Below are 14,676 nucleotides of genomic sequence, written 5' to 3'. Positions count from 1 at the left end.
TTTATTTTCAAATTGAATTAGGACACATGTCCTTATTTAGAAAGAGGATTAATGAGCAATAAAAGGCTAGAAATTAAGGGAAAAATTAACTGCCTAGGCTTAGGTAATTCAAAGTAAATATATATCACAGAAACAAAGAAGGGACATGGAAAATTTAATCCAACTGCTTCAATTCGCAGATTAACAAAAACATGCATTTTAGTCAGTGAACAACTTATATGCCAGGTATGGAACTGTGAATACATAGTCCTGACACTGAAATATCTCAGACCAGTAGAGAAGGAACAGACAAAATGAAAGCATAACTACAATTGTAATAAGTATGTCAAAGGACAAGTAAAGCCAGATAAATTTTTTTTGTTGTTTTTTGTTTTTTTCAATCACAGAGCTAATTGGGGGAGAGCAGAAACGAACCAAAGTTTCTTGTACTTTATGGTAATAGGAATGATTGCAAAACTTACACTTAGAACACTTCTGTTTTCACGAGCTCTTTGCTTCTGCTTTTACAGAAATTCTTTAATTTTTTTTTAATTGCCAATTCGAAGGAAAAAGGAATCTGTCCTTTTATGGGTGCATTTAAAAAAAACTAGTGACAAATTTACTAGTGGTGCTCCCTGTACAGCACAAAAATGCAAGGGCTAGTAATGTTACCACTGTGATACATTTAAGGTTACATTTTTAAAAATTATTTTGCTAGAGTTTTTAATAATTTTTCATCTGGGCCAGGCGCGGTGCCTCACACTTGTAATCCCAGCACTTTGGGAGGCCGAGGCGGGTGGATCACCTCAAATCAGGAGTTCGAGACCAGCTTGGCCAACATGGTGAAACCCAGTCTCTACTAAAAATACAATATTAGCCGGGTGTGCTGGCGCATGCCTGTGATCCCAGCTACTTGGGAGGCTGAGGCAGGAGAATATCTTGAACCTGGGAGGCGGAGGTTGCAGTGTGCCAGGATTGCAGCATTGCTCTCCAGCCTGGGCAACAAGAGTAGAAACTCCATCTCAAAAAAAAAAAAATTAAAAAATTTTTAATCTGTGTTGTTGAAAAGTGTAAAATAAATAATTTTATTTTGTTTTTAATTTTTTAAAAAATAGAGGTGGGGTCTTGCTATGTTGCCCAGGCTACTCTTAAACTCCTAGGCTCAAGTGATCCTCCTGTCTCAGCCTCCCAACGTGCTGAGATGACAGGCAAGAGGCACCATGCCTGGCCAAAATAAAAATTTTTAATAGGCAGTCCAGTAGTCCGAAAAATGAAGCAATGTGCTCCCCAGAGATACTTTTTATAACAAAGGGTTTAATGAAGATTTTCCAGTGTGCAGATTTCTACTTTGCAGTGCAGATAGAATACATCTGTGTATTTAAATTATTAAAACATTACAGTATCATTACATGGACTAACAACAAATTTTTATTTTCTAACAGTGTGTTATGGAGAAAGCCTGCCAAACGGAGAATGAGAATAGTTTACTTTGAACTGAAATAATTGATTTAGGAGCTTTAGAAATGATCTTGATTGGGCCTTTTATTTTACATTTGAGGACATATGGCCTAGAGATACTGTCCTTCCTAACACCAATAAAGCAATGGCAGAGCAAGGATTAGAAAACTGGTTTTGTAATGATGAAATTGGCACTTAGTATGTTGAATGTCAAGGAATTATGATGCTTTAAGCATGTCTCCTCTATTTTTTTTAGCAATTTAAAACTTTTATATTAAGAATGTAATGTTTTCCTTTTACCTTTGAAGATTATGTATTAATCTAACGAAACTCAATGAGTTCTCCATGGTGGTAAAATCTGAACATTTATTAACCTCAAATGGCTTTCCACCGCCATTGGGAAGAAATAATTCTTTTTGCCTTGGTTTTCAGGAGGCTTCACAACCTACCTATCAGCCTTGTCCCCCACAGCTTCCCTCCATAGAACTGTTCTAGCCCTGATTTTTCAGATACCTTGAACTTAAGGTTGTTTTGCCCACTTTTCCTGCGTTACAATACTACCTACCCTTTCCAGCTTTAATTTCACCTCTCCTGTAAAGCTTTCTCTTGATGTGGGATTCAGGAAGACTCTCTTTGGGACTTACAGCTCTGGACCAGTTAGCTTTATTACATTCACATGTTTATTATTTTTGTTTCTTAGTTTCTCAGACATGGAATCCTTAAGGACAAAGGCCATATCTTTTCTTTATTTCTTCATCTACCGTCATCACTCCCTTGGCTAGTACAGAGCTTTACACATATAGTGGGAGTTCAACATATTAGTTGAGTGATAAAGTGAAAAAGATCGATGAATGCCTTATATCAGAATAATCTTTAAGAAGCAGGTCTTTTTGTAAAATCCCCTAACCCTGGTATAACAGTCGTCCCAACTACTTCCAAGCTTGGTGACCTCTGGTTGATGACTGGGCTCAGCACCAGAATTCAGTTTCTTTACCCTTTAAACAAACTCCTCCAGGATAGGCTTGATATTTGGAAGTACTTCAACAGTGTGATATTTGTCTTTCAGTTGTATTTGAGAACGGTTCATAATGTGGCATTGAGAAAACAAAAAAGCACTTTATCAAAGAAAGCTGACACTTTACCACACTGGTCAGTCCGGTTATAAGGAAAGAGTCAAACAGCCATACTTGCTGTTAGAGCAGGTGCTTGTGGGCTGTCAGCTGCCCTCTGTCTCAGCCCCATCCTAGGGTATAGGACGGTACAAGGACACCACACCAGTGCACCCTTCTCTGTGCCAGACCCATGCAAACCAGGCGAGTATACTCCAAACCAAATCCAGTCCCTGAGTAGAGGTAGCTTGTTCTCACAGAGGAATTCCCCACTGCAAGTCCACACCATTTTGACTATCATTTAGGATGTGGTGTGGCTGCCAAACCAAGTCTCACATTGGGCAAAGGAGACTCCAGCACCCTTTTGGGAAAGTGTCATCCATGGAGCCACACAGAGCACCCTACTCAGCACATTTAGCTTCTGGCACCCAGAAGTGCCATGAGACCAGGGTAAACCACCAAGACGCTGCAACTTTGTTTTCTGTTTGACATGTGAGCACCAATAAACGCACAACTGCAGATCCTAAAGCACAAATACATTCGGGATTGAGATAGATTGTAATTGCAGATAAAGCCTAAATCATAAAGGTGATTTTACAGTGGGAGTATCCAAGCATGTTTCTGCCTAGCTCCAGCCCTAGTTACTGGTGCACAATCTGCCTGTTAATTACTCGTGGATTAAGTGGAGAAGAAAGGTACCACAGACAATGAACGTCATCCGGAAAGTCATTTGTTCTTTCTTGAGAATAGTATAAAGATGTTTTTCAAGGCCAGATTCTTTTCTTTTTGTAAACATCCCACTAAAATTCATCTGTGTTGCCAAATACACACAGGGAAAGCTGACCCAGCAGAGTTTAATACTCAGCCTGGTTTTGTTCAGGCGCGGTGGCTCAATCCTATATACTCCCAGCACTTGGGGAGGCCAAGGCAGGTGGGTTGCTTGAGCTCAGGAGTTCGAGACCAGCCTGGGCAATATGATGAAACCCTGTCTCCACAAAAAATACAAAAATTAGCTGGGCTTGGTAGTGTGTGCCTGTGGTCCCAGCTACTCGGGAGGCTGAGATGGGAGGATTGCTTGAGCCCCGGAGGCAGAGATTGCAATGAGCTGAGATCACACCACTTCACTCCAGCCTGGGCAATGGAGCCAGAACCTGTCAAAAACAAAACAACAACAACAACAAAACTCAAACAAAAACAAAAACTCAGCCTGATCTAATCTGCTACTCAGAGTGTAGGTTGAGGACCAGCAATAACCTGGAAGCTTGATAGAAATGCAGTGTCTCAGACACCCCACCAAAGGCCCACTGAATCAGAATCTGCATTTTCACAGGATCCTCAGGTGATCTATCTGCAAACAAAACTTTGAGAAGTATTGAAAAGGGCCCTGAGTTCTGGTTCCAGCTCTGGCACTAACTAGTTCCATAGTCTTGCATCCCAAAACCTCCTTGAGCTTCATTCATTTCACTTGAGGAAGACGAAACACCCACCTGCCTCATACAGTGAAGTCTAATGATGGTAAAATCACTTTGAAAAATTAGAAATATTCTATGCAAATAAGATACCACTGACTTTGTGAGCTGCAAAACCAATAGAGCTTTGATAGGGTGAAGGACCTTCCTGACTAAAAACAGAAAGAAATCATAGCCTTCATATTGATATTTGGCTTGGCTGAAAGTCACCTACCATTCTAGGATCACTAGTTATTTGTAGATCTCAAATTATACTTTTACCTTTCCAAAGTTTGGCCTTCCAAATGGCTTCTCAAACTGTATAGGACTATGCATCATATTCTGCTATGTAGCTTCCGCTAAAAAATGTTTTGCATGTAGCAGGTTGAGAGCATATTGGTCTCAAAGATTACTCTTCCACACTAGTTAGCCCTGCTTTAGATGCTCCTATGACACCCCTTTTGTTACCTTACATCAAAATTGCCATCAGTGGGAAGTGCGGTGATTGTACCTACAGGTAATGCCATCCTGGACATGAAAAAGGCACTCGGCAAATATATAGGCTCTTAAAACTTGTCCTTGAAAAGTTGAATTCCCATTAAAAGAAAACAGAAAAATGTTTAGAGAAAATATATGGAATTTGGCCTGGATGTGGTGGCTTATGTCTTTAATCCCAGCACTTTGGGAGCCAAGGTGAGAGGATTGCTCAAGCCCAGGAGTTTGAGACCAGTCTGGGCAATGTAGTGAGACCCCATCTCTATAAAAAATAAAAAACTTAGCCAAATGTGGTGGCTCATGCTTGTAGTGCCAGCTACCTGGGAGGCTGAAGTGGAAAGATCGCTTGGGAGGTCAAGGCTGCAGTGAGCTGAGATCACACTACTGCACTCCAGCCTGGGTCACAAAGTGAGATTCTGTCTCAAAATAAGTAAACAAAATGGAATTTGATTTTATACCTTCCTCATTTTCAAATAAACTTAGATTTACAGAAAGGTTGCAAAGATAGCATAGAAAGTTCCTGTATATCCTTTACTCCAATTCCCCTAATATTAACATCTTATTATATCCATGGTATATTTTTCAAAACCAAGAAATTAACAGTACAGCAATAATAGTTTAACTAACTTAGGACTGTATTTGGATTTCACCAATATTCCACTAATGACCCTTTTCTGTTTCTGGATTCCCTCAAAGTTACCACACTTCAATGTAGCCTTCAGTCTTTTTGTTTGTTTGTTTGTTTGTTTTTGTTTTTTGGGGTTTTTTTTAGAGTGTCTCTTTCTGTCACCCAGGCTGGAGTACGGTGGTGCGATCATTGCTCACTGCAGCCTAAAACTCCTGGCCTCAAGTGATCCTCCTGCCTCGGTGTCCCAAAGTGCTGGGATTACAGGCATGAGCCACTGCACCTGGCCCTCTTTTTTGTTTGTTTGTTTTTTAGTAATGAGCAAATTGTGCCTCATATCAGATATCAGATAAAAATTCAGTATGCTAGATTTTTAAATATTTTAATTATAAAAAGTTCAAATATACATGAAATAACATGAGATGTCTACATGTCATTATCAATATGCCACAGTTGTTAAAATTTTGCCATATTTGCTTCAAATCTCTTTTTAAAAATATAAACAAAATGTTACAGGTAGGATGAAAATACCCCTTATTTGCCCCCTAAAGTCAATGTAGGCTATTTACATATTTTTCTGATACTTTTAGAATACATGTATACATTTATAAATAAAACATACCCTTGTACACTTTTAAGATTTAAAGAGGTGGTATCAAACTGTACATTGTCGTATGAAACTTTACACTCAACATCATTTTGAGGTTTCTTCAGTGGATCTGTTTCATTCATTTGAATTGCTTTATAGAGTATACTTTTTATAGATAAGCCACATTTGTTTATCTAACTTCCTTATGAGGGATACTGAAGTTGTTTCCACTTGTTCCCACTTGTTTGCAATGTGGGTTGTAATGAATATGGGTGTTTATATTAATATATTTTCTCCTTGTTTAACTGTATACAGAATTTCTCTAGTCTGGAATTTGGAATGTCTGGGCATGAGGTACATACATCTTCAAATGTATGAGGTATGGTGAAATAGGTTTTCATTTATGTCTTTAATTTTATGTTTGTATCCCTTTAAAAAAAAGCTTTTTTAAAGAGACAGAGTCTTGCTTTGTCACCCAGGCATGTTTAGTGGAGTAGCTCACTGAAGCCTCAAACTGCTGGGCTCAAGTGGTCCTCCTGCGTAAGCCTCCTGAATAGCTAGGACTACAGGTACTCGTCACCATGGCTGGCTAATTGTTTGTACTTCGTTGTAGAGACAGGGTGTCACTATGTTGACCAGGCTGGTCTCAAACTCCTGGGCTCAAGTGATCTTCCCACCTCGGCCTCCCAAAGTGCTGGGATTACAAACAGCCCCTTTGCCCAGCCTTCCTTCCTGTCTTTCAACAATGTTTTGTAGTTTTCAGAATATAAGTTTTGTTCTTGTTAAATTTATTTCTAAGTACATTATTCTTTTTGATTCCATTGTAAGTGGAATTTTTTCCTTAATTTTATTTTCTTTTTGCTCACTGCTACTGTATAGACATTCAGTTGTTTTTGTATATTGATCTTGTACCCTGCAACCTTGTAGAGCTCATTTACTAGTGCTAATAGTTGTTTAGTGAATTAGGATTTTCCACACACAAGATTGATCTGCAAATAGAGATAGTTTTACTTCTTTCCTTTCCAGTCTGAATGCCTTTTCTTTCATTTACTTGTCTAATTACCCTGGTCAGAATTAGCCTCCAGTACAATATTGAATAGACGTGGCAACAGTGGGCTGGGTGCGGTAGCTCACGCCGGTAATCCCAGCACTTTGGGAAGTCAAGGTAGGTGGATCACCTGAGGTCCGGAGCTCAAGACCAGCCTGGCCAACATGGTGAAACCCCGTCTCTACAAAACATACAAAAATTAGCCGGGCATGGTGGTGCACACCTGTAATCCCAGCTACTTGGGAGGCTGAGAGGAGAATTGATTGTACCTGGGAGGCAGAGGTTGCAGTGACCGGAGATCTTGCCACTGCACTCCAGCCTGGGCAAAAAAAAAAAAAAAAAAAAAAAAGCAGCAACAGTAGACATCTTTGTTTTCTTCTGGATCTTAACAAGAACAAGAAAACATTCAGTTGTTTACCATGAAGTATGATGTTAGTTGTGAGTTTTTTGAAGATGCCCTTTTTCAGGTAGAGATTTTGGTTTGCTAGTATCTCTGTAGAATTTTTACATTTATGTTCGTAAGAGATCTTGGTGTAGTTTTCATTTCTTGTTGTGTAGGTTTTGTTATCAGGGTAATACTGGCTTCGTAGAATAAGTCGGGAGTTGTTCTCTTCGGTTTCCTGGAAAAGCTTGTGAAGAATTGGCATGAATTCTTTGTATGTTTTGTAGAATTCACCAATAAAGCCATCTGGGCCTAGGCTTTTCTTTGTGGATAGTTGTTTTGTTACAAATTCAATTTCTTTTTTTCCCCACCTTTAGACAGGGTCTTCCTCTGTAACCTAGGCTGGAGTGCAGTGGCACGATCATGACTCACTGCAGCCTTGACCTCCTGGGCTCAAGCAATCCTCCTATCTCAGCCTCCCAAGTACCTGGGACTACAAGTGTATGTCACCACGCCCAGCTAATTATTTACTTTTTGTTTTGTAGAGATGGGGCCTCGCTATATTGCCCACACTGGTCTCAAACTCTTGGGCTCAAGTGATCCTCCCACCTCAGACTCCCAAAGTGCTGGAGTTACAGGTGTGAGCCACTGTGCCCACCCACAAATTCAATTTCTTTACTTGTTAGAGGTCTGTTCAGATTTTTTGTTTCTTCTTGATTCAGTGTTAGTAGTTTGTGTCTTTTTAGAAATTTGTTCATTTTGTCTGTTATCTGCTTGGCATACAGTTGTTCACAATATTCCTTTATAATCATTATTATTTTGTAACATTAATGGTAACATTTCCTCTTTCATTTGAGCCTTCTCTCTTTTTCTCGGTTAATCTAGCTAAAGGTTTGTCAACTTTGTTGCTCTTTTAAAAGAACCAACTTTCAGGTTTATTAATTCTCTCTATTGTTTTTCTGTACTCAATTTCTTCAATTTCTGCTCTATAGCCCTTGGTATTCTTGACTTGCCTGTGCTGGCATGGAACCTTTGCTATATGAATGGGCTGGAGTGATGGGGATTGGACCCAGTATTCTCAGTAGATTCTGTATCCCACGAGTGGGGGCTGGGTAGAAGAAGGGGGCTCCCACCTTTCGGCTACACCACCCAGAACTTAGCCTTTGCAACAGGTAGCTGGGAAAGGAGGAGAAATGGAGACATGCTGCCCTGATGGGAAGATACTGCAGCCCTCTAGATGGGAGGTGAGGGCAGAGGGAGCCCTGTGTTCTTGGCTGTGTCTACCTGGAGTAGGGTTCCCATCACTCTGAATATGGAAGGGGAAGGAAATTGGTCATGACTCAAATGCCATAGACTCTTACCATTCCTAACTAGTTTTAGTAGGTTTTCTTTTCTTTTCTTTTCTTTTCTTTTTGAGATGGAGTCTCACTCAGTCACCCAGGCTGGAGTGCAAGTGGCATCATCTTGGTTCACTGCAACCTCCTCCTCCTGGGTTCAAGTGATTCTCCTGCCTCAGCCTCCCGAGTAGCTGGGACTATAGGAATGCACCACCTCGCCCAGCTAATTTTTGTATTTTTTAGTAGAGATGGGGTTCCCCCATGTTGGCCAAGCTGGTCTTGAACTCCTGACTTCTCAGGTGATCTGCCTGCCTCGGCCTTCCAAAGTGCTGGGATTACAGGCATGAGTCACAATGCCCGGCCAGTTTTAGTAGGTTTTCTCGAATAAATGTTTCTTCATTTGCTGTATGGCCTTAAGACCATTTCTAGAGAATTTAAATTTTGTTTTTTAATGATTTTCACCAGTTTCATTGTGGAGTGGGTCCATGGAGGTCCTCAGGTTGCCATGCCAGAAAGAGAATCTTAGTGGTTGCTTTTATATTTTTAATTCAGTTTAGTAACTATATATTATATTTTCTTGGTTTTAATATCAAATCTATTAAACTAGGTATATTCAGAGAAATCTAGTTCTTATTTCTTGTTTTCTTTCTTTGAGACAGGGTCTTACTCTGTTGCCCTGGGTGGAGTGCAGTGGCATGATCACAGCTCACTACAGGCAGCTTCTACCTCTTGGGCTCATGTGATCCTCCCACCTCAGCCTCTTGGGTAGCTGGGATTATAGATGTGTGCCACCATGCCGGGCTAATTTTTTGTAATTTTTTTGTGTGTGCTGAGATGGGGTTTCACCATGTTGCCAGGTTGGTCTCCAACTCCTGGGCTCAAGCGAACTGTCCACCTCAGCCTCCCAAATTGCTGGGATTACAGGTGTGAACCACTGTGCCTGCCTTCAGTTCCTATTCTTGTTCTTTCTACTTTCTTGTCTCTTCCTATTGATAAGGTTACAATATTTTGTGAGATTAATATGGCATAACATTCACCCTTTTAAAGTGTACATTTCAGTGGTTTTTAGTATATTTTACAAAGCTATGCAACATCATTACTACCAAATTTCAGAATACTTCATTTCCCCAGAAATAAACTTTGTATCTATCACTCCCTTCCCCATACCTATTGATGTTCATTGCTCCTCCCCCTTCCCCTAACCTCTAGCAACCACAGAATCTACTTTCTCTCTAGATTTGCCTACTCTGGACTTTTCATATAAATGGAATAATACAGTATGTGACCTTTTGTGATTGACTTCTTTTACTTAACATAATGTTTTCAAGGCTCATTCATTTTAGAGCATGAATCAGTACTTCATTCTTTTTGATATGTTTCCCCATTCATCAGTTGATGGACATGTGGATTGTTTCCATTTGGGGGCTATTATGAATAATGTTGCCATGAACATTCATGTACAAGTTTTTGTGTTGGACATATGTGATTTCTTTTTTCTCTTGGGTATGTACCTAGGGGAACAATTCTTGGGTTTTAGATAACCTTTTTAAAAAAGGCTTTCTTTTACGCTTTTATTAAGAGATGGATAATAGAGATATGGATATATAAATATTCACTTTCTTAGATAAATGGTAGGATTGCACAGATACCCTTTTCTTTATCTTGCTTTCTCCACTTAAAATATATCCTGGAAACCAAAAGCAAAAAATATATATCCTAGGCATCAGCCCATGTAAGTGTATAGAGATATTCCTCACTTCTTTTTATAGCTCCATGATCAGGATGTGCCATGATTTATTCAACCAGTCACTATTCATAGACATTAGTTTTACAGTCTCTTGCCATTACAAATAGAACTGAAATAAATTACCTTATGTATTATATCTTTTCATATTTGTGCAAGTGTGTTTTTAGGATAAATTCTTGGAAGTAAGATTTCTGAGCCAAAGGATAAATGCAGTTCAGTATTATCAAATTCCCTTCCATTGAGGTTATTCTGTTCTATATTCCCTTCAGCAATGTATCAGAGTGACGGTATCCCTATGTGGTTACTTTTTATAATGTACTATATATGATTAAAAATAATAGGCCGGGAGTGGTGGCTCATGCCTGTCATCCCAGCACTTTGGGAGGCCGAGATGGGTGGATCACGAGATCAGGAGATCGAGACCATACTGGCCAAAATGATGAAACCCCGTCTCTACCAAAAATACAAAAATTAGGTGGGCGTGGTGGTGCGTGCCTGTAATCCCAGCTACTCGGGAGGCTGAGGCAGGAGAATCGCTTGAATCCAGGAGGCAGAGGTTGTAGTGAGCTGAGATCGCACCACTGCACTCCAGCCTGGCGACAGAGCAAGACTCCATCTCAAAATAATAATAATAATAATAATAATAATAATAATTTAAAAAGTGTATTCTCTAGTTTTTGGTGCCAGTTCTGTGTTTGTTTCTTTGTTCAAGTTGTTAATTATGTTGTTTACATCTAGATTCTTATCAGTTTTTTACTTTTTGATAGAGGTTTATGGACTTGTAAATTTCTTCCAATATTTCTGTATATTTTTCTTTAAATATTTTGAGGCTCTGTTAAGTATATTCAAATTTAGAGATATCTGTCTGATAGATTGTTTCTTTTTCATTATGTAACATCCATCCGAATCTCTAATAGTGCTTTTTCACTTACAGTCTATTATATTTGATATTACGGTTACATATAATCTTTAGTATATATATATATATATAGATATATGCACACACACAGATATGTATATACTCAAATACATAGTTGGCCCTCCATATCTGTGTGCATCTGTGAATTCAACCCTCCAAAGATTGAAAATATTCAGAACAAAATTCCATAAAGTTTCAAAAGGCAAAACTTGAACTTGCCATGCCTAGTACTGTGTTGAATTTACATGAATGAAATGATATGTAGGCATTGTGTTAGATGTTGTAAGTTATCTAAAGATGATTTAAAGTATATGGGAGAATGCCATATACTTTATTATATATTCAATATATATATATTGAATATATATCAGGTTATATTCAAATATTGTGCCATTTTATATAAGGGACTTGAGCATCCACAGATTTTTGTATTTGCCAGGGTCCTGGAACCAATCTATGGATACCTAGGGCAACTGTATACATTCAAACATACTGAACAATACATATTCAAATATATATTTATATATTCAAATAATATGTGTAATAAATATATGTATTCACCTTTCTTTTGGATGCAGTTTGCATCCAAAAGTATTTTTTTCTGCTCGTTTATGTTCAATCTCTCTATGTCCTTGCGTTTTAAGTATCTAGTATAAACATGTGGATTATAATTATGTTTTTATGTAGTTTGAAAATACTGTTTAATTCATCTGCATATATTAAAATTAGTAATGTTTTGGATTTATTTTTACTCTCATATTTATTGCCTTTCTGATTACTGTACGTTTTAGTTTTTATTATTTTGCTTACTTTTAACTTCTTTCTGTTGGATTGATTGGGATTTGGGATTTCCAGCATGGCATATTCTTTTTTCTTTCTTTCTTTTTTTCTTTTGAGACAGAGTCTTGCTCTGTCGCCCAGGCTGGAGTGCAGTGGCACAATCTCGGCTCACAGAAACCTCTGCCTCCTGGGTTCAAGCAATTCTTGTGCCTCAGCCTCTCAAGTAGCTGGGATTACAGGCATGCGCCACCATGCCAGGCTAATTTTTGTATTTTTGTAGAGACAGGGTTTCGCCATGTTGGCCAGGCTGGTCTCGAACTCATGACCTCAAGTGATCCACCCACCTCAGCCTCCTGAAGTGCTGGGATTACAGGTGTGAGCCACCATGCCCGGCAACATTTTATTTACTGTAGTGTTTACCTGTGGCTCTTCTATTTCAGAAACTGGTGGTGATTAAGTTGTATTTCTTTCCTCTCTCCCACTTTAGGGATAATTTGAGAAAGGCTTAATTTGTAGAAATTAATATGAAATTGTTTTTTCATTTAGAAATCATAATTTATACTTACATAAAGTACAGAAAACTGTAGCTTACCATGTAGCTTTTGGGGGGAAAACGACATTTTTATCATAATCTTTTGTACTGTAAAAATAATATATGTAATGCTTACTATCAAAAGATAGACTCTTTTGAATAACCCCATTATTGGGAAATACACGCCAAAATATTTAGGGGTAAAGACCCATGAGGTATATAACTTACCCGCAAATAGTTCAGGAAAATAATTATATCCAGAGAGAAAGAGAGAGAAAATAATGAAGTGAATGGTATAAAATGTTGAATAGGTAAATCTGGTAAAGGGTAAATATGGCTGTTTTTGGTAGTTTAAAAAATTTTTTTGCAACATTTTATAACTTTGAAATTATTTCCAAATAAAAAGTTTTAAACTCCATATTTAGCAAAGGATTACAAAAACCTCTTCTTTGTGAAATTTTTCAATCACATTATATTTTAAAAAGTGAATAAATGTTAGTATTTTTATAATGATTGGGTGCCCCCCAGTGTTCAATTTCCACAACTACTAATCTTACAAATTCAAACCCAACTTCCTACAGCTGTATTTAGAAATGCCTTTTTGTTGATTTTTTTTTTGTGGTGACAACGTAAGATTGTTGTTTTTTCTTGAGACACAGTCTTGCTCTGTAACATAAGGTTACGAGAAGAATGTGTATAATGTCAACATTTGTAAAAAAGAAAAATAGCCACAAGCTACTAAAATATGAAACCAGACCCATGCATTATGATATGAAATGCAGATTTCTGCCTCCCCTAGGACCTTAATCAGTACACAAACTAGTTAAAACTGGGGGTTTATACATAGTCCATGATAATTATAGGGCATAGAATTATTCAAAACATCCATTTACTGGAGGTGGAAGTGGTCACAGCAGGAAAACTAGCAACGCATTTTCTCCTTTTTTCTCTAAACAACAGATGTTATTGTCTTTCATCCAAATAAATTCCTTACGACAAAAGAACAAGTAGGTTTAACATTTGTCTTAAGGTAAATCAGTATCATAAGTTGTGAAAGAAACATACAATTTTAAAACAAACATCAAAAATCAGTCTGCTTTAACAAACTTCACTCATTCTGATGATCTAGTCTTCTTCCTGGATTGTGGCTATCATCCAAATTGTGCAGCAATTCTCTGAAAAACTGGAATGTAAAATGTTGAGTTCAGTTTAAATATCCCCGGTGTCTTCATCATTTCCAGTGTCATTGACTGGATTTAGGCATGCTCTCCTGGAACAGACGTAACCTGCTTTTGACAGTGGTTTGACCTGGAAGCTCAACTTGGACCTTTAGATGTCCAGCTTTATTTGTAATGTAATGTAAAATTATGTAACTTTGTTGTCTAGTAGTCTTGCAAGCCCAGCCATATAATGTCCGAAGTCTTTATCCAAACTTTTTCTTTCAATTTCTTTTGACCAACAAAACATGTTGTTTCGGTCGGGTGCGGTGGCTCATGCCTGTAATCCCAGCACTCTGGGAGGCAGAGGCAGGCAGACCACCTGAGGTCAGGAGCTCGAGACCAGCCTGGCCGAGACAGGAGACTCGCTTGAACCTGGGAGGTGGAGGTTGCAGTGAGCTGAGATTGTGCCATTGCACTCCAGCCTGGGTGACAAGAGTGAAACTCCATCTCAAACAAACAAACAAACAAACAAACAAAACAATGTTGTTTCTAACTGTCCATTTGCCAACATGTAGATTATCTGAGCTTACTGGTCCATTCTCCTTCTCAGATTCATTCTCATTTCAGATTCATTCTTGTTCTTACCACCATACCTATTTTTACCTTTGTTCTTGGGCAGAGCTGGGTGGAGGGCTGGGTCTCTATCTCCCTCTGTGGTGTGTGGGCACAGCAGTTACAGGAGGCCTGATACTGCGTATGGGAGAACGCTGGCGCATTTGGGAGAGCGTCCATTTGAGATTTCCTTATGATATTCTCCCCTCTGTGTTTTTCATAGTTACACGCTCTATCTCTATTCTCTCAAAAACACCTTTTAAACATAATCAGGTATATTTGATGAAGTCTAAAATGAATCTTTATTTCTACTTTCTTCTTGAACAAAGACTGTAAAATACTTTGATTTCAATTATCTCTTCCATATTTTACATTAATGTCATCTAGTATTTTTGCCCAAATTAGCTATTATTATTGTTTTTTATAAGCATGTGCTTTTTTTGTTTTTAAGTTGCT

General features: G+C 38.4%; 1 annotated feature.

The window, feature by feature from the left end:
* Nucleotides 6,967-7,086: a silencer, noted in NCBI's record as "fragment chr3:150252356-150252475 (GRCh37/hg19 assembly coordinates)". NCBI's record gives its function as "represses an EF-1alpha promoter that drives an FKBP-Casp9 reporter gene in an ReSE screen in K562 erythroleukemia cells {active_cell/tissue: K562}" and the evidence as "EXISTENCE:reporter gene assay evidence [ECO:0000049][PMID:32094911]".

Source organism: Homo sapiens, chromosome 3, assembly GCF_000001405.40.
Source record: "Homo sapiens chromosome 3, GRCh38.p14 Primary Assembly".
In the NCBI taxonomy this organism is placed as follows: Eukaryota; Metazoa; Chordata; class Mammalia; order Primates; family Hominidae; genus Homo; species Homo sapiens.
The sequence above is the reverse complement of the archived record's forward strand: the minus strand, read 5'-3'. Positions and strand labels throughout refer to the sequence as shown.